This window comes from Homo sapiens, chromosome 12 (genome assembly GCF_000001405.40).
Source record: "Homo sapiens chromosome 12, GRCh38.p14 Primary Assembly".
NCBI classification, from domain to species: Eukaryota; Metazoa; Chordata; class Mammalia; order Primates; family Hominidae; genus Homo; species Homo sapiens.
In genome coordinates, this window is record NC_000012.12 from 130,064,854 (window position 1) to 130,090,821 (window position 25,968).

Sequence of the window (25,968 nt, forward strand, 5' to 3'; positions counted from 1 at the left end):
GAATAAATGCAGAAGTGGATTTTGAAGTCAGGCAGCCTGTCTTCAGACGAGGCTTTTAAATTTTACATCATACAGATGTCCCTGACGCCACAGCCGAGAGACCATGGGGGCTGGAATGTTGACCCCACAGGCAGGCAGCTTCCTTGGGAGCCACCACAAACTCGATACCTTTCTAGGGTTGGGAGCTAAGTGCCCCATCTTTCCTGTTCAAATCCATAGAGGCCTGTCCCCTGCAATCAGCCAACCACACATGCCCACTGCCCACCCTACAGGACTGATGCCCTCTGGCCTATCCTGCCTGGCTTGTCCTATGAACAACCTCCCTGCTCGACACTGTGGTGCCTCAAGGTGTCCCACAGGAGGCGCCTGAGACCCTGGATGCCAGGAAGGGGTTAGGTGTGGAGAGGGGACCCTTTTCCTTAAAAATTTGATTGGCTGAACAGTGAAAACATTAAAGGAATCAATTATGGGTTCAGTTCATAATTTTGTTTCAATCTCTGAGTTACTGATCAAAACGAAAACAAATGTTTTGCACAAAATTCATCATGCATTGCTTAACTATGAGGAGACACTTTCTGAGAAGTGTGTCCTTAGGCGATTTTGTGGTTGTGTGAACGTCATAGACTGGATTTACCCAAACCTAGATGGTGTCACACACCACACACCTGGGCTGTATAGTGTGGCCTATTGCTCCTGGGCTACAAACCCACAACATGTTACTGCACTGAACACAGTAGGTGATTGTAACACAATGGTGAGTATTTCTGTATCTAAACACATCTAAATAGAGAAAATGTACAGTAAAAATACCATATAAAAGTTTAAAAATGGTGCATCTGTATAGGGCATGTACCATGAATGGAGCTTGCAGGCCTGGACGTTGCTGTGGTGGGTGAGTGAGTGGTGAGTGAATGTGAAGGCCTAGGACATTCCCGTACGTGACTGTAGACTCTGTAAACACTGTACACTTAAGATGCTCTGAATCTAAGAAAAAATAAAGTGCGCCATGACGTTACAACTGTTGCCACGTCACTAGGTGATAGGGATTTTTCAGCTCCATTGTAATCTTACGGGACCACCATTGTACATGTGGTCTGTTGTTGACCATATCGTTGTTCTGCGTAGCGCGTGACCGGAGTTTGGGCAATGCTGTCCTTGTGACAGACAGGACAGAGAGAAAATAAACTAACATAGAAGTCTCAAGGGCAGCGATTTGCTCAAAATAGCTCACACTGGCTCACGAGGGCCAAATGTTAAATTTTCAGGAATGTGTGAGTCTATTGTCATCAGGTTGGCAGGATGCACTTGGCCATGCTGCAAGTATTTACACCATGGAAACTGGCAGGTGCTACAAACCAGGGCATATGGTTTTAGGGAGCTAGTTGTTAAGCACTGGCCAGCACACCACTGACTCAGGGACAGGATAAGGATGGGGGCTCGGAATACCTGGGTTCCAGACTCAGTTGTGCCACTCATCCATCATGACGGTGGCCTCCATTTCCTCATCTTTATAAAATAGGAACAGAGGCTGGGTGTGGTGGCTCACACCTGTAATCCCAGCATTTTGGGAGGCCAAGGCAGGCAGATCACCTGAGTTCAGGAGTTTGAGACCAGCCTGGCCAACATGGTGAAACCCCATATCTACTAAAAATACAAAAATTAGACAGGTGTGGTCATGTGTGTCTGTAATCCCAGCTACTCGGGAGGCTGAGGCAGGAGAATTGCTTGAACTTGAGAGGTGGAAGTTGCAGTGAGCTGAGGTCGTGCCTTGCACTCCAGCTGGGCGACAGGGTGAAGCTCTGAAATAGGAATAGAAATAACTGATTCCACTGATCACATGGAATTATTGTAAGAAGCAAACCAAAGGCGGTGTTCTCTCTTTTTCTTAACCTGAAGGTTTATGGCAAGGAAGATAGAGAAAATGTTTTTAAAGAACAGATCCCCAGAATGTCTTGGGAGCGAGCCTGCAAGCCATGGACTAGCACATTTTTCTAAATGAATCAATGTCTATGGCCCGACCTGAAGCCAGTTCTACTACCTCCTGGAGCATCCAGCACCCCGCCACCCAGCCTTCCCTCTGCTCCCCTTCCAGAGTCCCAGGAGCTTTTCTGACACTGCTTGGCCCTGCCAAAACTGTAAAGGAGGGAGGCTGCAGGCAGCTGGGAGAGGAGGGTACTTGATATGGTTTGGATGAGTCTCCTCCAAATCTCATGTTGAGCTGTGATGCCCAGGGTTGTTAGTGGGGCCTGGTGGGAAGTGTTTGGGTCATGGGGGTGCGTCCCTCACGAATGGCTTGGCCCTACCCTTGGAGATGAGTGAGATCTTGCTCTGTTAGTTCACTGGAGAGCTGGTTGTTTGAAGGAGCCTGGCACCTCTCTTGCTCCTGCTCTTGCCGTGTGATGCACTGGCTCCCCTTCACCTTCCGCCATGATTGGCAGCTCCCTGAGGCCTCACCAGAAGCAGATGGCAGTAGATGGCATGCTTCCGCTACAGCCTGCAGAACCGTGAGTCAATTAAACCTCTTTTCTTTATTAATTGTCCAGCCTCAGGTATTCCTTTACAGCAACATAAAATGAACGAACACAGTAGTCAAAGCCAAGGTGTGTGCAGGCATTGGCAGCACAGCCAAGGGCTGTCAGCTGCGTGGAAGGACCCAGGACCCAGCGTGGGCTTGGCTGCTGCCAAGTGTAGGATCCTGAGGGTCTTGGTCATTTTTCTGCTGCTTATAAGAGAATACATGAAACTGGCTAATTTATTTTTAAAAAGGAATTTGTCTCTTACAGTTATGGAGACTGAGAAGTCTAAGGTTGGAGGGGCAAGCCTGGTGAGGTCCTTCCTGCTGGTGGGGCCTCTATGGTGTCCCAAGGTGGCGTAGGACATCCTATGGCGAGGGACTGAGTGTGCCGGCTTAGCTTTCTCTCTTTTCTTATAAAGCCACCAGTCCCACTGCCACCATAACCCATCAATCCCTGAGCAGATTAATCCATTCATGAGGGCGGAGCCCTCTTGGCCCAATCACCTCTTAAAGCCCCCACCTATCACTTCTGCCACATCGGGAATTAAGTTTCTATGCTAGAGGAGACAAACACTCAAACCGTAGCACTGGGCTTCTCACTCAGCCTCCTCGAACCTGCTTCAACCCACATCTTCACAACAGGGAAAGACGGTGTACATCAAGGACAGTCATTTTCAAGAAAGAGTGGGGAAAGGGCACGCGTGTCCATCACAGAAGGGGGCTGGGTCCCTGGCCACACTGGGATGTGGTCTAATTTGGAAGCAAACCTGCTCATTCGTGTTCATGTGTTTCCACGGTGAGGCTTTGGTGTTCTCTCTCTCTCTCTCTCTCTCTCAGTTTTAATGATGAGAAGTTGGTGATTTTGAGGCTGAAAAGGAGACTGACAGAGTAAAAGTCACCTTTCATCATCACAGTGGGTGCGCTTAACCAGTGTCTGAGGATACTGAGGCACCCGAGGGGCTCGTGGCAGGAGGGGAGGTGCTCAGAGACTACCCACCCTCATGCACAGGGCCCCCTCTGCTCCGTGGGGGGCTGCCAGGCTTCGAGGGATTCCAGTGGGTATCTGCTGCCTCTTAAGAATATCTGTTGAGATAATAAGATTTGATAACCTGCCTGCATCTGTACAACCAGCACCCACGTCAACACAGAGAACTTGAGCTCCCCAGAAGCCCCCGAGCTCCCCAGAAGCCCCCGAGCTCCCTGCCATCACTGGCCCCCGGGGTCCCCACTATTCTGCCTTCTGGCACCCTCAGTTGGTTTTGCCCACGTGTTAATTTTATCTCAGTGGGTGGACTCCTGCAGGATGGACTCCTGCCTCTGGTTTCTTGGCTGGACTTCATGTCTGAGAATTTTCCATGTTGCCTCTAGTTGGAGGTAGTTCGGTTTCACGGCTGCCTTGTATAAATTCACCGCCACTTACTTACCTGCGCACCTCCTGACGGGCATTTGTGTTGTGTCCAGCCTGGGGCCTGTGTTAGTCTGCTCAGGCTACCATAACAAAGTGCCACAGACTGGGCGGCTTAAAGCACGGACACGTATTATCTCATGGCTCTGGAGGCTGCAAATCTGAGATCATAGCAACAGCAGGGCTGGTTCCCTCTGAGGCTGTGTGGGGAGGGAGGACGTGTTCCAGGCCTCACTCTGTGGCTTGTAGGTGGGCGTTTCTTTCTGTGTCTTCACATCGCCTTCCCTTTGTGGGTTTCTTTGTGTCCAAGTTCTCCCTTCTGATGAGGACTAGGGTCTACCCTACTGACCTCACTTCAGCTTTGTTACTTCTGGAAAGACCCTCCATCCAAATAAGGCCAATTCCAAGGTCCTGGGGTCAGGACTTACCGCAGCTTTTTGGGTGGGGGACAAAATTCAACCCCATAACAGGCTGGTACCAATCATACAGCGGTGGATCCCTCTATATTTTCTTTGATGAACATACATGTGCATTACTGTTGGGTGATGAGTCCATTTTATTTTTACTTTTTAAAAAAGACTGTTGCTTTCATTTGAAAGAGAGCTTAAAACAATCCCAGATCCACCTAGCACAAAATGCTGCATAATTGGTATCCCTAGGAAAGGCTCAAAAGCCCTAATGTGTAGAAGATTGGGCCAAACATGGGTTGTTTTTATTTCTTCATGGCTACGAGCAACGTGTGCTTGGAAGATCCTGGGCTACGGAGCTCTGCTGTGAGACTGGGCATGAAGTCTTTCAGACTGGTTGCCAACTTTGGGAGAGCTAACATTTATTGACTGCTCACTGGGCTGGGCTCTGTGCTGAGGGCTCCACACGCTGTTCCTCCCATGATTCTGCCAGGGCTCTCCCTTATTTGGAGGCAGATGAAGAAACTCAAGGTCAGAGAAGCTAAGCCCAAGGTCACACAGCAAGTAGGTGGCAGAGCAAGGACCTGAACTCAGGTCTGTCTAAGTCTGCATCCTGTGCTTTCAGCCATGAACTCTGACTTCTTCACTGCCCCCTATAACAGGAAGCTGCCTCCATGAGAAAAAACGCCCAGCTCAAAAAGGCTTACCCACTTGGATATTTATTAGCTCATATTACCAAAAGTCCAGAAATAGACAAACCCAGGTTGATAACCTCAGTGGGTCAGTGACCACTTGGGAACTGGTTCTTCCCATCATCTCTTGGCATCCTTGGCAGGTTGGCCTTGACCTCAGCTTTGTCTACTCAACGTGGCAAGGTGGCTGCAGCACCCCCAAGTATCATCACCTCAACCAGCAGCACCCACAGGTCCAAAGGTAGAATGTCCATCACTGGCCCCTTTAAGTGCAGCAGAGTTCTTTCTCAGGAGAGCCTGCCTCACAGCAGACGTCCTCTCATTGGTCAGAATGATGTCACGTGCCCATTCCAAAGCCAATCACCGGCAAAGGGAAGTGAATAACCATAATTGACTTAACTAACTCAATTCTTCCCCAGCCGAGGCTGGGTTAAGGCCTCACCTCCCGCAAGCACAGGCTCCCCGAGTCAGAACGTGACCTGGATTCCCTTAGCCCGGAGGACTGAGGGCTGAGAGCCTGGCAACAGCGTCTGATTGCTGCCCGTCAGCAGCTTCACCGCGAGCTAATCTGGACTGCAGTCCGACCTCCCGGGCTCCCTCATGCTCCACGTGATTGCCATGGTCAGGAAGGCAGGAAGCAAAAAATGCAGCTCACCATCCAGACGCCCTGCCTCGTGCTCCCGCGGACTGGCTGCGCCCCAGACTCGGGTTTCAGTAGAATCAGGATGAGCCTGCTGGGCAGCCGGGTCACAGGCCCCTAACTCACCTGCAGACCCACGCAGATCAGTCTTCGCAGTGAGCTCAGGGCAGACCTCAGCTTTGCTCAAGCCCGGCCCTGCCACAAACATGCCTCACCTCCTGCCACCTACCCTGGCCGTTCCTCCAGCCAACTGGGCATGAGAATGAAAACTCCCACAAGTTCCATGGGAATGCATATTTGATGAACTGGAAAAATATCAGGCTAACTAAATAAAAGTTGGATTTCCCTGAGCCTCACTTGCTGGTCACTGCCCTGTCACTTCTGAAAGTCATGTGGACTCCATTATTTGTTTATTTTTTTGAGACGGAGGCTCGCTCTGTCGCCCAGGCTGGAGTGCAGTGGCGTAATCTCGGTTCCCTGCAACCTCTGCCTCCCGTGTTCAAGCGATTCTCCTGCCTCAGCCTCCCGAGTAGCTGGGATTACAGGCGCCATGTTAACCAGGATGGTCTCGATCTCCTGACCTCATGATCTGCCTGCCTCGGCCTCCCAAAGTGCTGGGATTACAGGTGTGAGACACCACACCTGGTTAATTTTTGTATTTTTTAATAGCGATGGGGTTTCACCATGTTGGCCAGGCTGGTCTTGAACTCCTGATCTCAAATAATCCACCCACCTTGGCATCCCAAAGTGCTGGGATTACAGGCATGAGCCACCACACCTGGCAGGGCCCCATTATTACATCACACACAGAGAGGGTTCTGAAAGGCAGCAGGGGCTGTTGAGGGTGAAAGTCAGTTGTCTTCTGGGTGCAGCTACAGCTATTCCACCTGTCATGCAGGTAGCCATCCACAGTAAACCGTCAGCTTTTCTCCCTTACATTTTTCTCTTTATACTTGAGAATTATGTTTTCACTTGGGCCATAAAGACATTTGGGCTAAGTCACAGGAAATAGGACGCTGATAAATGAGGACTGCAGTTTCTTCTCTTGAACCATTGAATACCCCCCGCAGGAAGTACACGGGAGAAAATAGGAGGGAGATTGTTTGCGGAGGGCTGCAGCTGAGCAGTAAGTCCACTTAGTAGCTTCTCCCTTATTCCTGCCCTGCAGGCAGATAAGCCCAACAAGTGAAATGAACCCCAGTTCCCAATCACAAGATTATGTTCTGGGACCACTAAACTGCAGTTGTGGAAAATGGGCCTTACAAATACAAGTTGTATTAATCTGTTTTCATGCTGCCTGGAAAGACATACCCGAGACTGGGTAATTTATAAAGAAAAAGGTTTAATCAACTCACAGTTCCATGTGGCTGGGGAGGCCTCACAATCATGGCGGAAGGCGAAAGCCATGTCTTACATGGTGGCAGCAAGAGAGAGAATGAGAATCAAGCAAAAGGGGCTTTCCCTTATGAAACCATCAGATCTCATGAGATTTATCCACTACCTCGAGAATAGTTTGGGGGAGACCACCCCCATTATCCAATTATCTCCCACCAGGTCCCTCCCACAACACATGGGAATAATGAGAGCTAAAATTCAAGATGAGATTTGGGTGGGGACACAGCCAAACCGTAGCAACATAAAACAAGCATGGGAGAAAAGATGTTTCCAAAGGATCGTCCATATTTAGTTAGCCAAGACTATAACCACAGCTGAAATCTAAGGTTTCTGATGGAGAAGAAGACCTTAGTAATTTGGTTTTTGTTTTGTTTCATAGAAAGAACACTGACCATAAGATCTGCCCTCTTAACACATTTTTAAGAGCGTGATACAGGATTGTTAACAATAAGGAACATGGTTGTTTGTTTTTCTCTTAATTGCTTTTTTATTACGAAGCTAAATGATTTTTAAGAGCGAAATTTGAATATAAAGAAAATAATAGGGCTTTTGACTTTTCTACTACAAGAAGGTGGCTTCCTCAAGGCATATGATTGCAATCCAAGCGATGCTATTTCCAGATGGTAAACAACCCTCTTTTTTACAATCATGTTGCCTACAAGTCTAGGCAGACAACCCTTGGTACTTACATACACCAGGTACTAGAGAAAAGCTGGAAAATGCAGCCAGTGGTCTCAAGGCTTTCAAAAATGAGACCTTAATAAAGAGTTAATATGAACTGAGTGTTTATCCTTGAGCAGGTACTGTATACACGGCACGTGGGTGAGCTCACTGACTCCACACAACAACCCTGTGAGGCAGATGCTATCAGCTCCTGCATTTCACAGATGTGGAAACCGAGGCAAAGTGAGTGCAGCACCTTGCTCAGGTGGTCCTGCTGGTCCACGACAGAGCCGGGTTTTGAAGCCGAGGGGCTTGGCTCCAGGGCCCAGCTGTCTACACTGTGCCCCAGTGCCTCGTGTTAGCATATTCAGTGTTATTTTAAGCGGTTCCACTCTCAATCAGAATGACAGCATCACAGAGCAAACATCACGTAGGCATTGGTCTAAACCCAGTTGGCACAAAAGGCCCCAAATTGAAGTCAGAAACTGAGTTCAAACCCAGATTTGCAACCACTGGCTTGGTGACTGTAGAAAGCCACTTAAGCCCTCTGTATCTGTATTTTTCTTATCTCTAAAAAGAGTGTAAACCTGACACGTGGCCCAGTGATCTCAGAGTGTAGCCCTGAGGATCAAATGTGGTCACGCGCGTGCACGCACTGTGAAGATGGGGCCAGCTTTCCCGGGGAGAGGCATGACAGTGGCAAACACTGTCCTACTTTTAACAGACACCGTCCTACTTTTAACAGACACCACACATCGGCTCTGTCCCAGGTACATGCTCGTGAATGAGCCGAAAGTACAGAAACTTCCAAATGATAGAACCTCAGCTTAGTGTTGGGAAATGAGTGAAAACCAAACACCCTCGACACACACCCTTAAAGAAGACAGTCTTAATCTGTTAAGCGTTGCAGTCCCAAGTGAGAGCAAATGTTGCAGGCAAGGGAAAGGGATAACTTGGATTTTCGGGTGGATCACCTGAGGTCAGGAGTTCAAGACCAGCCTGGCCAACATGGGAAACCTCATCTCTACTAAAAATGCAAAAATTAGCTAGGTATGGTGGCAGGTGCCTGTAATCCCAGCTACTCAGGAGGCCCAGGCAGGGGAATTGCTTGAACCTGGGAGGCGGGGGTTGCAGTGAGCCTAGATCATGCCACTGCACTCCAGCCTGGGTGACAGAGTAGGGTCTTTCTCAAAAAAAAAAAAAAGTAACTGAAAGAAAGTACCAAATCAATATTTTACTCAATGATTTATGTTCCTGTAAGAGCTCTGGCCATCTTGCCAGTACACATTGGCACGGGTGTGCACACTTGTCATCAACGCATGCATCATCAGCTGTAAGCAAGAGCCTGCATTTGAATGTAGGTGTGTCCTGGCAGGCCTGAGAAAGCATCAGAGCCCAGAATGAATTCATTTCCTTAAGGAGTTTTAGGAGAAACTTAAGCAATGAAGATGAGAGTTTTGCATTGGTGCCCAGAAGGTTTGGCGAAAGCAACAGGATGCCCTTCCCAGAGGTGGCTGTAGGGGCCTGTGTCTGGGCACTAGAGGATGGAGGCAGTGTGAGAGCCCTATGGGCACTGCTGAGGGGTGCAAAGTGGCTCTCCTTTTGCCAGTTAAGAAGGCGGCTGTGGGGTGCATGCCCGTCAGGCCTGTCATAACCGGCACGAATGATGTTGTCCGACAGGCATGGGGATCTACACAGGAATGAAAACAACTCCAATTTCGGCTACTTTCTATGTGCTGACCGTTGCACTGATGGCTTTAAATATTTTATTCTAAAGCTGTTTCTCACCACGACCCTATAGATGTTATTGTCTCCATTTTATGGCAACGGAATCCCAAAAGGGCAGAGAGGTGGTGAGTGCAGCAAAGGAAACTGTCAAGCAGTCATGAACACGGGGGTCCCAGGAAGCAGAGATCTGGTACGGGTTGTCTACTGCTGGGTCACAAATTACCTCCCAAACTGAGCATCTTAAACAACAAACATTCACTGCTTATTTCTGTGGGTCAGGAGTTTGGGAGCAGCGTAGCTCAGGGGTTCTGGTTTAGGGTCTCTCTGAGGTTGGCCAAGGATGGGCTACCGCCACTGAAGGAGGAGAAGGGGGATCTGCTTCCAAGATGGTGTGCTCACTGGGCTCTGAACGCTTGCATGTCCTCGTGACATGGCCCCTGACTTCTCCCAGAGGGAGTGATCCCCAGAGAGAGCAAGAAGGAGACTACCCTGACTTCCATGACCTAGTCACAGAAGTCACACACCATTGCTTCTGCCATGCTTTATTTCTTAGGAGTGAGTCACTGAGTCTGGCCCACACTCAAGGGGGAGGAATTAGTTTTCACCTCTTGAAGGGTGGAACATCAAATAATGCATTATATTTTAAAGCCACCAGAGATCTCTTTAGAAAATGGGGCTCCACATTGGCCTGTGGGGCTAGTGAGCTGGTGAAGGGCTCCCCCTCCACCCCCGAGGCGGGAGGCACCTGCGGAAACTCAGCGAGGTCACACGATGTGCACATCTCCACTTGACATGAGACACCATGGAGATCAGGGGCCATAGTGTTTTCCCTCCTCCCTGTGCTTTTAGCAGTTTCTAGTCATTTCCTTGTCATCCTCACATTGCTATGAACACTTAGTAATGTGAACACAAACCTCCCAGTGGACTCACATGCTCAGAGGGCACTCAAGACTGGGGGAAGCAATGCAATCACAGCAGCATAAATATTCCTGAAGTCTGGGAGCCTCAAGACAGAAACTAGGTCACCAGGGCCTGCTAGTCTGGAGGAGCTGGTGTGCTCCCTTTAGTGTGCATGTGAATGAAGACACCGTCAGAGATATTCCTAGGGGCCACAAATTCTCCTGCATCCTTGCTTGCTCCTCCGAAGGGAGGGTCAGATGACGTGTGCAGCCTGGCCTCAGAAAGCTTGTGGGCCAAGTCGAATAGTTGCAGATGGGCTGGGACGTCCAGAGTCTGTTGCTCTGGAACAGTTGCTTACAAGTCAATGTATGTCTTTCATTCACCCACAAAACCGCACCATGCAACTCCTATGAGCAATGAAATAAGAACAAGTAATAAGAGACAGTAACCAGGAGATCTGGGACAGAAACACCCACGTGGAGCTATAGTCGCAGTGGATCCTGTGAAGGAAGGGCGTTGAGTAAAGGGACAGAAAGTGACAGAATGTGTTTCAGGTGGGATGGCCAGGGAAAGCCTTGCCACAGAGGAGGCCTACAAGCAAAAGCCTGGTGGGTGGGGGGTTAGGGCTGGAGCAGCTAGGTGCCTCCCAGGGGCAGATGAGGACCTCACAGGCCCCCGCTGGGACTTCAATTGTGTTGTAAACGTGGTTGGGAATGGTGGAGGAGCAGAGGGAGCAGGACCTGTTCTAAGTTTTAGAGGAATTGCTCCCAGCAGAGAACTGGCTTTCAGGGCAAGAATGAGAGCAGGGAGACCAGCAAGGGGGTATGGTCTAGAGAGGAGGATGAGTCTGAGGTGGGGAGACAGAGGTGGAGGGAGACTTCGGTTCAACGGGGATCTGTTTACAGGAAAAGATGACAGGAGTTCCTGATCGATCCAAAAGACAAAAGACAGGGGGTGCAGACTCTGCTGGGATCATCCAGGGCCACAGGGTAGTAGGAGCAACTTCTGGAAGACAGAACTGAGACGGTTTAAGGGATGTCACAGGAAAGAAGAGTTATAGTGTGCAGTAGCTCATCCATTCCTCCCCATGATCCTATGAGCTCGGCCCTGCCATTGCACCCATTTCCCAGATGAGGACACTGAGTCCTAGAGAGGTTAAGTGACTTGCTCATGGTCACAGAGCAGGAGGTGGCAGAGCCAGGGCTCACATGCAGGTATCTCAGGGAAGGACACCCAAGCTTTAAAAAAAAATTTAAAGGATACACTGTCATCCTATTTACTAACAAAATTTAACAAAATGAGACTACAATATTCCTTCTCCAGATGCTGTGGAGTAAATGCAGGATGAAGTCACATTTTCATAATTTTAAAACAGTTCCTAAGATCATCAGTCAGCAAAGTGAAGAACGAGAACCTATTGGAAGGTTCCCTAGGACCTTTCTGTGAATGTCCTGCATTTTCTTTTGTAATACTTTCCATCTCTGGTAAAGTAGATCTGCTTTAAAAGTACTTTATTGTGTTTTGTTCCCGATTATAAAAGTAATATGTATTCATCCTAGAAATAATCACCACTCACAGTTTGGTGTATTTCCTTCTAGTCTTTTTTCCCCTAAAGCATGCATAAGTGCTTGTTTTTGCACGTGTAACTTAATACACATTATAGTGTGTGTCCCATGAAAAGCACGTCTCAAGGAAGTGAGAAGTTGTCTTTGCAAACCCTGATGAGGTGTGAGAGCCCTGGCCAGTGCCAGACAAAGGCAGTCCCAGGAGCCCTCTAAGAATGGAAATCCTGCCCTAGTGGCCCCACGGCTCTACACGCAGACAATATCCGTTTGCTTTTCCTCTTTTACCAGAGAGATTACATCACCATCTACACATTTTTTTTTTTTGGTTGCTGTTATAGACTGTTTTTGAAACAGTTTCCAGACTTCCTGTAGGCTGTTTGTTTTGTAAACGCTTATCCATCTGTCCTTCTCCTTGAGTAAATGGGTCCAGGAAACACCCACTCTTTAGGAACACTCCCCCGTCCACCATTGGGCTTTATTTAATGTGGAGCTAGATCTATATAAAGCAAAATAAAAATACACAAAATGAAAGTGATAGTGATAAGGATGGTGGTGGTCATGGTAGATGCCAGTTTCAAACACAAGTCTATGCCAGGTGCAATGCACTAGTCCATTCTCACGCTGCTATGAAGAAATATCCAAGACTGGATAATTTATAAAGAAAAGTGGTTTAATTGACTCACAGTTCTGTATGGCTGGAAAGACCTCAGGAAACTTACAATCACGGCAAAAGAGGAAGCAAACATGTCCTTCTTTACAAGGCGGCAGGAGAGAGAAGTGCTGAGCAAAGGGGGGAAAAGCTCCTTATAAAACCATCAACTCTCTTAAGAACTCACTCACTATCATGAGAACAGCATGAGGGCAACTGCCCCCATGATTCAATTACCTCCCACCAGATCCTCCCATGACATGTGGGGATTGTGGGAGCTACAACTCAAGATGAAATTTGGATGGGGACACAGCCAAAACATCATGCAGTGTTCAGAGTTTGGCATGCATTTGGTTATTTAAGAGTCATCACGATTTCCTTTTTCTCAAATGAGGAAACTGAGACATGAGCCCTTTGCCTAAGGCCACATAGTTGGGAAGAGCCATAAATCCAGTAACTAGTCTCTGCAATTCTCAAACCCAAGCTCCTAATCACTTATATAAATATTGCCTCCAATGAGATAAAGAGAAAAAGAGACAAATAGAGAAAAACGACAGAGATCGATTCAAAAAGAGAGAGAGATGGCAACACAGACACAGGCATAGGATGCCTCTTGGGTTAGATGACCATAGAAGACAAGAGATGTATCTGTGCACAAAAGCTGATGGTCTCAATGCACAAGAGTCACCCCCACACACCAGGTAGTTACACAGTAAACTTGGGCAGAAGGTGAAAAAATGCCAAATGAATGAGTTACTAAAGTTACCAGGAGGGAGAGATCAATATGGTTTGGGGTACAGAAGAAAGACCTATTAGAGGAGGTGGCCATGAATCTAGCTTTGGGGAATGGAGAGGTCTTAGGACCAGAAGGAAATCCTTTGATATTCTTCCACTGAGAGATGGAGTCTTCCTCTCCTACCCTTGAATCTGAGCCAGCTTGTGATTGGGTCCACAAAGCTGGTGTAGCTCCCACCTCATTTGCTGGAACATTCATGGTCGGAGCCCTTGGCTGCTGTGTAAGATATTCAACTGCCTCATAACTGGAGCTTTCACATGAAGATGCTCTGATAGACAGTCCCAGCTGAGCCCAGCCTTCCAGTGAAAGGTTTCAGAGCAAGAACGTTTTCAGTTCAGCAGCATATTAATAACCACCTGAGCAAGACGCAATGAAAAAAGCAAGATGATCATTTAAAAATGTATTTATAGGGAGGCTGAGGCAGGAGGATCACTTGAGCCCAGGAGTCTGTGAACAGGTCTCAAAACAAAAAAATGTGTACACACGCACACGCACACACATACACATATAAGTACATATATACACATATATATTTCCACAAAATCTGTTCTCACAGTCAGAGTTGGCGCCATTGGAACTAATTATTGTGACTTAACTCCTAATGAGTTTACTTTTCTCACGTTACAAGAATTCTGGAGGCAGAACTATTCCAGCTGCTCTGAACCAAGCTCCTCTGCTCCCCTTGCACAGCTGTACTTATATTTGACTTTGTCTTCATGGTCGCAAGGTGACTGGGCATTGCAATCATGTTTCAGAAGGTGAAAGTCCAAGGTCAAACAGACAACCCGATCAGCCTACACCCCTGAGAAGAGTTTCCCTGAAAGCCCCACCCCAAAACATCTGCTTGTATCTCGCTGGTCAGATTTGAGTCACATGACTTCCTTAAGCTGCAAGGAGTTATGGGAAATTGAATACTTAAGTAACATTGTGCTCCCAAACCAGTTGAGCTTCTGTTGGGAGGAGGAAAAAAAGACTGAATATTGTTGATTTGTCCTTTAACATTATTTTACTAGTTTATCCCATCAGAATTAAACTCCATGGAAGCAGGAATCCTGTGCTTCCTTCTCTGCTTTCTAGGGACCTGAACAGTGCCTGAGACATAGTACATGCTCAATAAATATTTGCTGCATTTTGTCAGTTAAATCCATACCAAGGCTCGTGGCAGTCGGGACTCGAAGGTCAGGCAATTAAGAAGAGTGAGATGAGGTTGGAAGGGAGGCTGGGGCACCCTTAAGTGCCCAGCTCTGAAATGCCAAGAAAGTACAAACGCAGAAACAGTAAATATTTTTATGACTCATGAGTCAGGAACAAACTCAGGTCAGATTGGTTGCAACAGATCTAGAGAAAAAGCACATTGTGCTTCAGAAATTCATTTAAAGAAATTAGAGTGATGGGGCAAAAAGGCCCCAGGAGTCTGCTTTCGGTCTTCTGCGTGGGGCGAATGCCTGTTTCCTTCTCTCAGATGTCCCTCTGAGTCGGGTTTGAAGTAGATTGCTGCCGAGAAGCAAGTCTTCAGAGGCTAATTGATTTCACTCTTGGGAAAATTATCCTGACATTCAGCCTAAAGTTTCCTTTCCTTTCATCCCCTTGCTTCTAATAATGCCTCGTTGGATCAGCATGAAAAATTGGTATCCCTCCCTGATGTTTACCCTGGATGACCCTTATCAAGTCAGCCTTCATCATCACAGCCCAGGCAGTTTTTTTTGTTTTTGTTTTTGTTTTTTTGAGACGGAGTCTTGCTCTGTCACCCAGGCTGGAGTGCAGTGAGCAGTGAGTGCAGTGGCGCGATCTCGGCTCGCTGCAACCTCCGCCTCCTGGGTTCAAGTGATTTCTCCTGTCTCAGCCTCCAGAGTAGCTGGGATTACAGGCGCCTCCCACCACAACTGGCTAATTTTTTTGTATTTTTAGTAGATACGGGGTTTTGCCATGTTGGCCAGGCTGATCTTGAACTCCTGACCTCGGGTCCACCCGCCTCTGCCCCTCAAAGTGCTGGGATTACAGGTGTGAGCCACCACCACGCCTGGCCAAATCCAGTTTTTTAATTTGTCCTGGACAACACCACTCAGATTCAAAAGTCATGGGAGGAAAAGTTGGCCAAGTTCGTATCATGTGCCTGTGCCTTGGTTAGAGGAGGCAGGGCAAGTTGCAACATCTCCTTTGCACTTTCCCCCTGCACTCTGCACCTTTCAGCTGACTGGAGTGGTGGATGCCCAAGGTGATCTTGGAAGCACATGTTAAAGATGGAGGAGACTCACTTAGCCTGGGGCCCCACAAGACCACGTGGAGCAGAACGTTCCGCCTCCTCATGCCTTGTCTATTGCATGAATGAGACACAAACTCCTTGGAGTTGAGCTATTGATTCTGTGGCCCATTCGTTATAGCAGCTTGATCTACCTTAAGCAATAAATGCTGTTACTAAAATACGTGTGAGCAGTGGCTCAGTGGCCAGAAAACAGCAAGTATCCACTATACTCACAGAAAAGAAACGAAAGTGAACCTTTAGGCCGGGCGTGGTGGCTCATGCCTGTAATCCCAGCAGTTTGGGAGGCCGAGGCAGGTGGATGACTTGAGGTTGGGCGTTCAAGATCAGCCTGGCCAACATGGTGAAACCTTGTCTCTACTCAAAATATAACAATTAGCCAGGCATGGTGGCGCACACCTGTAATCCCAGCTACTCGGGAGGCTGAGGCACGAGAATTGCTTGAACCCAGGGAGGCAGAGCTTGCAGTGAGTTGACATCATGCCACTGCCCTCCAGGCTGGGCGCCAGAGCAAACTCTGTTGGAAGAAAGAGAGAAAGAGAGAGAGAGAGAGGAAGGAAGGAAGGAAGGAAGGGAGGGAGGGAGGGAGGGAGGGAGGGAGGAAGGGAACCTTTAAACTCACTTGCATCAAAGTACCATGCTTCGTGTAGTTCATTGTGTTAGGAAGAATTTGTCCGATTTGGGGAGCTGGAAGACCCAGCTTCTCAGGTGTCATCTGTAGCAGGTCACATGTAACCCAGGTAGATGAACCTAAAAGGCGCTAACTACGGATATCACTGGGTTCTCTCTTCCACATCCTCCCCACCTCCCCAGCTGGTCTGTGAATTCTAGTGAATCCTGACTAACGGGGCTGTTATCTCGGCTAAGCATTCTGATTCTCCTCTGGGCACATGATTTTGCCTAATCCAGTGATAACAGAAGCTAAAGGATTTACACACCTTTTCCCTTGCCCTTGAGGTTACTAAAAAAACATAACTCAGGAAACTTGGCCCCACTGGGGAGCTGACACTCTGACACAGAGACACAAGACCTTTTTGAAAGCTTGTGGGAAAATCAGAAAGAGAAACGGCTGGCCCGTGCGAGCATTCCAAGCCCAAATACTATAATGAATTTTGCACACATCAGTGGGTTCTGACTCTGTTGCCAATTAAACCCTCTGTGGGGGGGATGCAGTCCACTTAATCTTCCCTGCCAAAGACACAATCCCCCCCCCCCCCAAATACCGCAGTGATGGAGGCAGGGGGCCGTGAAAACCATGCTGTGAAGACAACCCAAATTCTACCTACTTTTCCAAAGTTTTGTCATTGCCGACTCTGCGCATCGGTAAGAAATGACCAGATAAACTGAAAGGAATGAGCCTCTCACTTACCTTTTTTGACAGAAGTTGGAGTCTGTGTATTTAAAATGCCCGAAAATGAACAGTCCAGCCCCACACAGGGTAGGTGTCTTGTGTGATAAGAACTCAAAGGGAGCTTCTGAAATGATAAGGAAGGGGATCGGGAGTTACCGGCGTTACGGCATGAAGTGTCGCTAACAATGTCATTCAGAATCAAAAGGTGGCTGAGTTTTCTTTCTTTCTTCCTTTTCATAAATAATACTAGCCAACAGATTATAAAGTCAAAAATTATATTTAAAACAATCCTCTTTAGAAACCCAGATTAATAAAAAAAACAGTGGCCCCAAGTTTAGCGACTGTGCTGAGCTAGGGGCAAACTGATCATACAGAAAAGCCGTGCTTTGGAAACAGGGCATTCTGGCTCCATGGCAGCCCTGCCCTGGGCTGGGCACCGGCGGCCACAGAGCCTCAAGTTTCCAGCCTGTAAAATGCAGACAGTAATTCACAGACACTGTGATGCTTCTGGCACATTGACTGTGGGCTTATCACTGTGAGCTGCCATCCTCATTATAACAAGGATGTTTAAACAGCATTCCGCTGCATTTCGTATGAGAACTTAGTTAACTAACTCCCTTTGCTTGTAGAGAAGTGTCTATGGTTGGCCTGGTAAAGTCTGACAGAAAAGAAATACAGATTAACCAGCTTTCTATAGTATTGCTGTTTACACATGCATAAGAAATTTCATAATTATTTTATTCATCGCTCATGACAACCCTATGAGGATGGTAGAACGGGTATCTTTTCTGTATTTTCTCTTTACAGAGGAGAAAACTGATTATATATGATACTCATTATGCATATATGATTATATATTATATGTAATCAGTTTTCTCCTCTGTAAAATATTTTTACATGTATTATCTATGTGTGTATATATGTGTGTTTATATGTGTATGTATGGGTGCATGTGTATGTGTGCATGGGTGTATAATATTTGTGTGTGCATGTACCTACATGTGTGCACATGTGTGTATATGCATGACACTCTAACACAGAGACACAAGATCTTTTTGAAAACTTGTGGGAAAATCAGAGAAACGGCTGGCCTGTGAATGTGTATGTGTGCATGAATGTATAATGGATGTGTGTGTACCTTCATGTGTGCACGTGTGTGTATAACACACACACATATACCAAGGTCAAGTAGACAATAGTAGTGGTAACCATTTATTCACTGAACCAATAATGTTTGAGCTGAAACTTTCAAAATGAGTAAAACTGTCACGAGAGAGCACTCCAAACCAGAAACCAAATATGGAAGACATAGCATTCATACAACCCAGTGTAAAACTCTGTAAAACTCTAGTGACAACGAACAAAAGGCAAGTTAGAACAGGAAGAAAGTGCTTGCAGGGTGTGTCACTGGCAAAGGCTTCGGACACAGATGTCTAATGTGCTCCAGTGAACCAGGAAGAAAAAGAAAAGCAACCCCAAACCAAAATAGGCAAGAGTATAAACAGGCAAAACGCTGAGGAGAAAGTACAGGCGCCCAGTCAGTATTCCACTTTTCAGATTGGGGAGGATGTGAACGTCTAAGAACAGCCCCCGGTGTGAGAGAGTACGTGGGAACTCCTGCCGCGCAGGCACGGGGATGGGTCCCAGCAAACGCACGGTGTATTTCCAGGTGTAAATCGCCCACACTCTGACCCAGAAACAACCCCTTCTGTTCAGTACCCCAGAGGTGTGCCCAGGGAGGCCTGTGCTTGGATTTTCTGAACCTGAGAAGGTCTGAGAATGCTGGGGGCTGGGTCTTGATGGGGAGATGGGGAGTTATGGGTGCGCGGTGCAGGGACGCGGAGATGGGGAGGATTTTGAAGAAAGAATCGACAGACGTGCATTTAGAAAGATGACTCTGTGCCATGTGAAAGACAGATTGACAGAAGAAAGGCTGAAGACCTGAGAACGCTGAGTATAGGACAGGGGAGTAGATTCTACTGGGAGGCAGGAGAACAGCTGGAGTGGTCTAGGGTGACAGCGAGTCCATCCATTGACTGGGTTTCCTAGCTGCAAGCAGCAGAGGCCGGCTCTGACTAAGCGTCAGAGTTACTCATTAAAATGATATTGGTAGAGCTGGAAACCCAGGCCTCAGACTGAGCTTCCCAGAACAATGCCCGAAGCCACACAGCTGACCTGGCCGGATGAGAAGGCGCTACCTCTGTGCTGCCCCAAAGAGCACTAAAGAAAACCATCAGCTGCCAGGAAGTCTGCCTGGCAAATGTCATGGCCCCTGGAAGCCGGCTGCCTCTGCAGCCACCTGGCCAGCAAACTGCCCCCAGCCCACGCCTCCTGTCTCCGATTGCTCTCGCTTCCAAATCAGAGTCATGGACGTATGGGATAGGTGGGTGCTCGGTCGTAAGCCCCATGCCCCAGCGGCAGGAGAAGCTGGGTATTCCAGCGTTGGAGGCACTCTCTTGGGGAGAGGGGACTCCCAAGGCTGGCAGGCTCTCAAATGTAGTAAGAGTGTGCAAAAGGTGTATGACAAGTGCCCTTTCCAGACAGTGGGAAGTCAGGGGGTGCCGTTAGGCAGGAGCCAGAGAACTCCAACCTCCACGGGAGGGAAGATGGCAGGTCTGGTGCCAGCACCCCTAGCCCAAGGAGCCAGGGACCTCCAGGAGAAATGCACAGCAGAAGGTCACAGGACGCAGGGCTGGGCATCGTTAAGAGCCAAGTGGAGGCTGAGTCATGGGTGTGGACGAGACAGGCCAGGAGGGGCACAGAGAAAGACGATCAGGCCAGGGCCGCCATCCTCATTATAAACAAGGATGTTTAAACAGCACGGCCCTGCATTTCCTATGAGGACTTAACTAACTCCCTTTGCTTGTAGAGAAATGTCTACATTTCTGGGAAGGTGCTGGGAAGGCCTGTAGCAGGGAGATGGGGCCCCAAGCAGGTCTGAGAAGGAGAGGTGGTAGGTGGTGCAGTGGTGAGCACAGCAGAGCAGGGAGAAGACTCTGGAGAAAGAGAATGCAGCAAGCCAGCCTCCTGGGAAGCCATCTTCTTCCAGGGCTGCTTCCTGGGCAGCCGTATGTAGGCCTCTGATTTCCATTCCTAAATGGTAATGCTAGTGATTTCTTTGAGCTGGTGGGGTAGGGTGAGAGGGCTCTTGAGCAAGGGAGAGGAGCTTGGTTTTCAGCACAGAGCCTTGTCCTTGGAAACGAAGGCTCGGCTGCAGGTGATCATAAGCACCCCTCAGCTGCATGAAAGGTCAGGATTGACATTGTCACTACTACTGCTCGGGAACACACAAGATAAGCAGACTCTTTCCCTGGCATTTCTGGGTCTTATATTCGATTGCATTGTTTTAGAGAGTAGGGCTTGTGGGCCTACCTGAGCTGCAGTCCGGGTCTCCATCCGCAGCCCTGATGACTCAGCACCAACATTGGAGAATTCCCCGTTCTGCAGAAAGACATGGGTCGCCAGGACAGCTGGGCCTGCTTCCCTCACTGCTCCCTGACTCAGGATGCGATGGGCAGGTGCCCAGCCTGTAGCCCACCCTTAAGAGTGTGTGAATCACCACCCTGGCGTGGGCTATGCAGCCAGATGGAGTGGGCTTCTATTTTGGCCTTTCTCTTCCCAGCAGTGTGATCCTGAGTTTTCGTCTTGGACCTTAGTGTTCTCAACTGTGAAATGGGACAGTAATGGCACTGCTGTCTGTGGTTGCCAGAGGGAGCGTGTGAGTCCATGGGTCTGGCTAGGACACAGCCTGGCACGTCAGACTCCATAACATTAACAGTCAGTCATCAGATTAGGGAGGGAGATGGAGCTGAAAGAAGGGACTCCAGGGCGGCTTGGGGTTTTAGCAGGGCCCTCTGCCCTCCCCTCTGCCCCCACGCTTCCCTGCACGAGGGCTTTTTGCTTCCACCCAGAGGTGCAGGGGGTGACTCCCGCCCCTTCACTCAAATGCCCCCAGGAGCCTCATTGCTCTCTGGTCACCTGCCGGAAGCAGGGGGAGAGGCCGGGAGACTCCGGAGCACGTCAGACCTAAGCCCAGAGCCCAGGAGGGCCACCTGCTTTGAGGCGGCCAGGGGGTATTGCTGCTCAGACCCAGGGGCCTCTGTGGAGGGTCTGGGTGGCCCTGGGGGCAGCTCCAGGCTACCTGTGCCGGGTTTTCACTTTGACAATGAGAGGAGGGTGCCTTGGAGGTGATTGGAAGCCAGCATGTGTCACCCAGCCCTGCAGAGAAAGGAATCACAGCAGACAGCCCTGCCCAGCCGAGAAGAAGAGCTTGGGCTAGCCAGGAAAAGAAGAGGCCAAATCCCAGCCTTCTAGCAAAGGTGCAGAAGCTTCCAGCATGTCTTCCCTTTTCTCTGCTCTTCTTCACTTGTCCACATCTTCCGGGCAGTCAGGGGAGACAGCAGGGAAGGTTCTCCCACTCCCACCCCACCCCAGAGCCCCGAATTTCCCATTACTATTTTGCTAAGGGATGAGATGTAGCTTCACTTCCTTCCTCGCCACCAAGGGAAGGGACAGGACGTTCGCTGCTCCCCCAGTCAAAGCTGGGGCTGTGCTCCTCTGCCTCGCTCGCTCACTGGCTTTCAAAGGCCGTTTGCTTTATTTTATGTGCGTTTCCTGTGCTGCTCACATTTTCCTGCCTTTGTCTTTCATGTCCAAACTGCAGAGATTCACGGGGACAGATTATAACTTTCTTCCGAGGTGAGATCAAAGGCTCTGTGAGAGGCCTGCTTGTCTTTTTCTGGCAAAGCAAACTTCCCCACATCTGTTCTGGCCGGCTCCACTAGGAAAAAAAAAGCTATCAGGGTGCTGCAGAAGTCAGGACAACTTCCCAGGGATGATTCTCAGCTCCCGCCCTGGATGTCACAGTTTAGCTACAGAAACCGAGTGGCCCAAATATCTGGAGGCTGAAGATAAATTGACAAAGAGGCGGGCCGCGCACGCTCTCACGCTTCGGCAGCTCAGATACCTGTTACCTGGCGTTAATTGCATTTACAGCGGGAGAGAGAGCTTGGGCTCTCACCAGGTACCAATTGCACGTGTGTGTTTAACTTTTTATGGAGACTTTTATTAACTTTTCATTCTGGAAATGCATGCATATCCTCCCTGTGCAGCTTGAAAAATGTTCACAGCGTGAACGCCCGTGTCACCAGCGCTCAGCTCAACACACAGAAGATCACCCATCCTCAGGAAGCTGCTTCTGTGCCCCAGCTTGTTTACTGAGTGTTTGCATAAAATATTCACTGATTCATGAGTGTGGGTCAGTAATAAAAGCCACTCCACGTTGTTATTCCAAAGAGGAGTGAGTTTATCCCCAAGATTAGTTCTAGAGTCCCTGGAAGGAGAGAGAGAGAGAGAGAGAGAGGGAGAGAGTTTGAGAAAAAAGAAGAGAGCTTTCTCTCTTTCTGTCTCTCAAGTCAAGGACACAGACCTGGTAGAAAAGGCCTTGCTTTTTCAATTACCCAGGTTCTTGGTGCCCACACGAGGAGTAAATGCTATTGTTTTGACTTTCTCCACCCGACAGGCCAGTCGCCACAGGAAGGAGGAGAAGCCCAGCCCAGCTGGCTGCTCAATGTGGCACCTTCATCGTCTGCCTACTGGCTCACTCACCTCCTCCTGCTACCTTTGATCTGGGTGGCGCTTCTGCTCTCAGCCAGGGAAATGATAGTGTGGTTAAGCAGCACTGTTAGGGGCCTGGGTCCCGGGCTGGGACCAACCTCCCCACACCCAGAGGGTGCTTTCCTCCTAGCTCGGGCCCTGATATACACCAGGTCTACAAAAGTACGGCGTTGAGCCGTGTCGATCCAGGTGATGCTTTAAATATTTTCCAGCAAGGCTGTGAACGGTAAAAAGAGAATTCAGAAGCTGGCTGAGAGCTGGCCTGGGCAGCTGGCATCAACGTGTGCCCACCTTGTGCCAGGCTCTTTAAGTGCATGATGGCACTTCCCCTCACGTTGACTCCGTAAGGAAGGCAGGATCACACCAGCTGGAGATGATGAGAATCTTGAGGCTCCGAGAGGTGGCGGGGACCTCGTTAGCATGACACAGCTGCAGGTGACCAGGAAGCCCACAAAAAGCTGCTCAGCATCATCAGAGAAGTGGAAATGAAAACCACCCTGAGGCAGTGGAAGCAATTGAAGGCCCACCACTGACGCGTGGACAGATCGGCCGCACTCCATCCGTCCAGTGGCGTAAGACTCAGCCATAAAGAGGGGCGAGGCGCTGGCACAGGCTAAAGCACGGAGGAGCCTCGGAAACACGACGCTGCGCGGAAGAAGCCACGCACACACGGCCGTGTATTGCGTGATTCCACGGATGTGACACGTCCAGAACAGGCAAGTCCTCGCGAACAGAAAGCACACTAGTGTTTGCCGGGGGCTGGTGGGTGGGGCAATGGGGAGTGACTGCTTACAAGGTGTGGGATTTCCTTTTGGGGATATGAAGATGTTTTGGAACTAAATAGAAATGATGGTTGACCAACATGGTGGATGTCCTCAATGCCACTGAATCATACACTTTTAAATGGTTAATTTTCTGCTGTGTAAATTCTATCTCAGTAAAAACATATGTAAATCAAAAAGAGAGAGAGAAAAAACCATACTGCGATGCCCTTTGACACACTAGAATGGCTAAAATGCAAAAGGCTGACAGCACCAAAGGCCGGTGGGAGGCGGGGCCGGTGGGAGGCGGGAAAGAGAGCTTGGGCTCTCACCAGGTACCAATTGCACGGGGAGGCTGTGCTCACACATGCCTGGCAGGAGTGGAAAATCCGTAAGTGCTGTACCAGGTCATCAGGGCTACCGTCAAAAAGGACCACAGGCTGGGCAGCTGAAACAACAGACATTCATTCTCTCACAGTTCTGGAGGCTGGACGTCCAAAGTCAAGGGCGACTTCCCCTGAGGCCTCTCGCGTGACTTGCAGATGAAGTCTGCTCCCTGTGTCCTCACGTTGCCGCCCCTCTGTGCGTGTCTGCATCCTCATCTCCTCTTTAAAAAGACAATTTATGGATTGTCTTTTTAAAGACAATTTATGGATTGTCCTATGGGATAAGGGCACAACCTAAGACCTCATTTTAACTTAATTACCTCTATAAAGACCCTATCCCCAAATATGGTCAGATTCTGAGATACTGGAAATTAGGACTTCAACATCTGAATTTTGAGGGAACCCAATTCAGTCCATAGCAGCCACTTTGAGAAATCGCTTGCCAAGTCAAACGCATACTTACCATACAACCTATCGGTTCCACTCCTGGTATTGATCCCAAGAGAAATGAAACATATCACCAAAGACTTATACATGAATGTTCAAAGCAGTTTTATTTACAATAGTCCCAAACTGGGGACCACCCCAATGTCCAGCAGCTGCTGAATGGACATAACTCGTGGTATGCGCATACAAGGGAACAGAGCTCAGAAGTTAAAAAGGAATGAACGACTGCTTCACTCCAAAACACAGGTGAATCCCAAAGACACCGTGTTAAGAAAGCCAGGCTCACAAGAATTCATGCAGTATGACTCTATTTTTATGAACTTCTGGGACAGGCAAAACTAATCTAGTGACAGACGTTAGAATGATAGCTGCCGGCTGGGCGCCGTGGCTCACGCCTGTAATCCCAGCACTTTGGGAGGCCAAGGCAGGTGGATCGCTTTGAGGTCAGGAGTTCAAGACTAGCCTGGCCAACATGGTGAAACCCTATCTTTACTAAAAATACAAAAATTAGCTGGGCATGGTGGTGAGCATCTGTAATCCCAGCTACTTGGGAGGCTGAGGCATGAGAATCTCTTGAATTCGGGAGGCAGAGGTTGCAGTGAGCCAAGATCACACCACTGCACTCCAGCCTGGGCAACAGAGTGAGATTCCATCTCAAAAAAAAAAAAAAAAAAAAAAGTGATGACTGCCAGGGGTGGTACATTGATTGGGATAGGGCAAAACGGAGCTTCCTGGATTGATGAAAACGTTCCGCGTCTCATAGGGTGTTGGTGACATGAATATATACAGATTTCACAACTAATAAGGCGGAGGCAGGAACATCACTTGAGGCCAGGAGTTCAAGATCAGCCTGGGCAATATAGTGGGACCCCCATCTCTACAAAAAAAAAAAAAAAAAAATTATCAATTAGCTGGGCATGGTGGAATGTGCCTGCAGTCCCAGCTACTCCGGAGGCTGAGATGGGAGGATCCCTTGAGCCTAGGAGTTCCAGGCTGCAGTCAGCTATGATCACGCCACTGCACTCCAGCCTAGGCAACAGAGTGAGACCCCATTCCAAAAAAACAAAAAACAAAACAAAACAAAAAAACAGGTTATGTAGCAGGTAAGAGGTAAAATTCAGTTCTGTCTGCCCAAAAACTCATAGTTTGTGTCCTTTTTTGGTCCTTTTAAAGCCTGTTTTCCTGAAACAAAATATAGGACACCATGACTATCATTTTTCAAAATATTTCTCACTGTATCAGTTCATTTTCATGCTGCTGATAAAGACATACCCGAGACTGGGCAATTTACAAAAGAAAGAGGTTTAATTGGACTCACAGTTCCATGTGGCTGAGGAAGCCTCACAATCATGGTGGAAGGCAAGGAGGAGCAAGTCACGTCTTATGTGGATGGTGGCAGGCAAAGAGAGAGCTTGTGCAGGGAAACTCCTGTTTTTAAAACCATCAGATCTCATGAGACTCATTCACTATCATGAGAAGAGCACAGGAAAGACCCATCCCAATATTCCATCACCTCCCACTGGGTTCCTACCATGACATGTGGAAATTGTGGGAGTTACAATTCAAGATGAGATTTGGGAGGAGACACAGCCAAACCATAACACTCACCAGCTCTCCGAAATGACCCCTGGCATGCAGGCATTCACTCACTCACTAGTTCACTCAGGTAGGTGCCTATTGTGTGCCTACTGAGTGTCTACTGCATTCCTACTGCGTGCCTACAGTGTGCCTACTGTCTACTGAGTGCCTACTGTGTGTCTACTGCATGTCTACTGCATGCCTACTGAGTGTC

The 25,968-nt window shown here is 48.6% G+C and overlaps 2 long non-coding RNA genes across 5 annotated transcripts, besides 3 other annotated features; one reads left to right on the forward strand and one right to left on the reverse strand.

Moving 5' to 3' along the window:
- Positions 1-2,389: 2,389 nt before the first annotated feature.
- LOC105370077 (uncharacterized) lies at positions 2,390-6,428 on the reverse strand. 4 transcript variants are annotated; one of them, XR_945550.1, is made up of 4 exons: positions 6,393-6,428; positions 3,513-3,598; positions 3,283-3,395; positions 2,390-2,494 (listed from the first exon to the last, which is right to left on the reverse strand). It is a non-coding gene; the product is annotated as an uncharacterized LOC105370077 (long non-coding RNA). The 4 variants fall into 4 exon arrangements; XR_945546.2 differs by lacking the exon at positions 6,393-6,428 and adding an exon at positions 4,349-6,128; XR_001749395.2 differs by lacking the exon at positions 6,393-6,428 and adding an exon at positions 3,940-6,128 and having other exon boundaries at positions 3,283-3,383.
- A 53-nt stretch (positions 6,429-6,481) lies between these two features.
- Positions 6,482-7,832, forward strand: LINC02419 (long intergenic non-protein coding RNA 2419). The gene is made up of 2 exons (NR_146538.1): positions 6,482-6,785; positions 7,434-7,832. It is a non-coding gene; the product is annotated as a long intergenic non-protein coding RNA 2419 (long non-coding RNA).
- Positions 10,745-11,272: an enhancer, noted in NCBI's record as "NANOG hESC enhancer chr12:130560143-130560670 (GRCh37/hg19 assembly coordinates)". NCBI's record gives its function as "activates a minimal SCP1, AML or CMV promoter by ChIP-STARR-seq in primed H9 embryonic stem cells {active_cell/tissue: H9 hESC(primed)}" and the evidence as "EXISTENCE:reporter gene assay evidence [ECO:0000049][PMID:30033119]".
- Positions 22,585-23,102: an enhancer, noted in NCBI's record as "H3K4me1 hESC enhancer chr12:130571983-130572500 (GRCh37/hg19 assembly coordinates)". NCBI's record gives its function as "activates a minimal SCP1, AML or CMV promoter by ChIP-STARR-seq in naive H9 embryonic stem cells {active_cell/tissue: H9 hESC(naive)}" and the evidence as "EXISTENCE:reporter gene assay evidence [ECO:0000049][PMID:30033119]".
- Positions 23,103-23,620: an enhancer, noted in NCBI's record as "H3K4me1 hESC enhancer chr12:130572501-130573018 (GRCh37/hg19 assembly coordinates)". NCBI's record gives its function as "activates a minimal SCP1, AML or CMV promoter by ChIP-STARR-seq in naive H9 embryonic stem cells {active_cell/tissue: H9 hESC(naive)}" and the evidence as "EXISTENCE:reporter gene assay evidence [ECO:0000049][PMID:30033119]".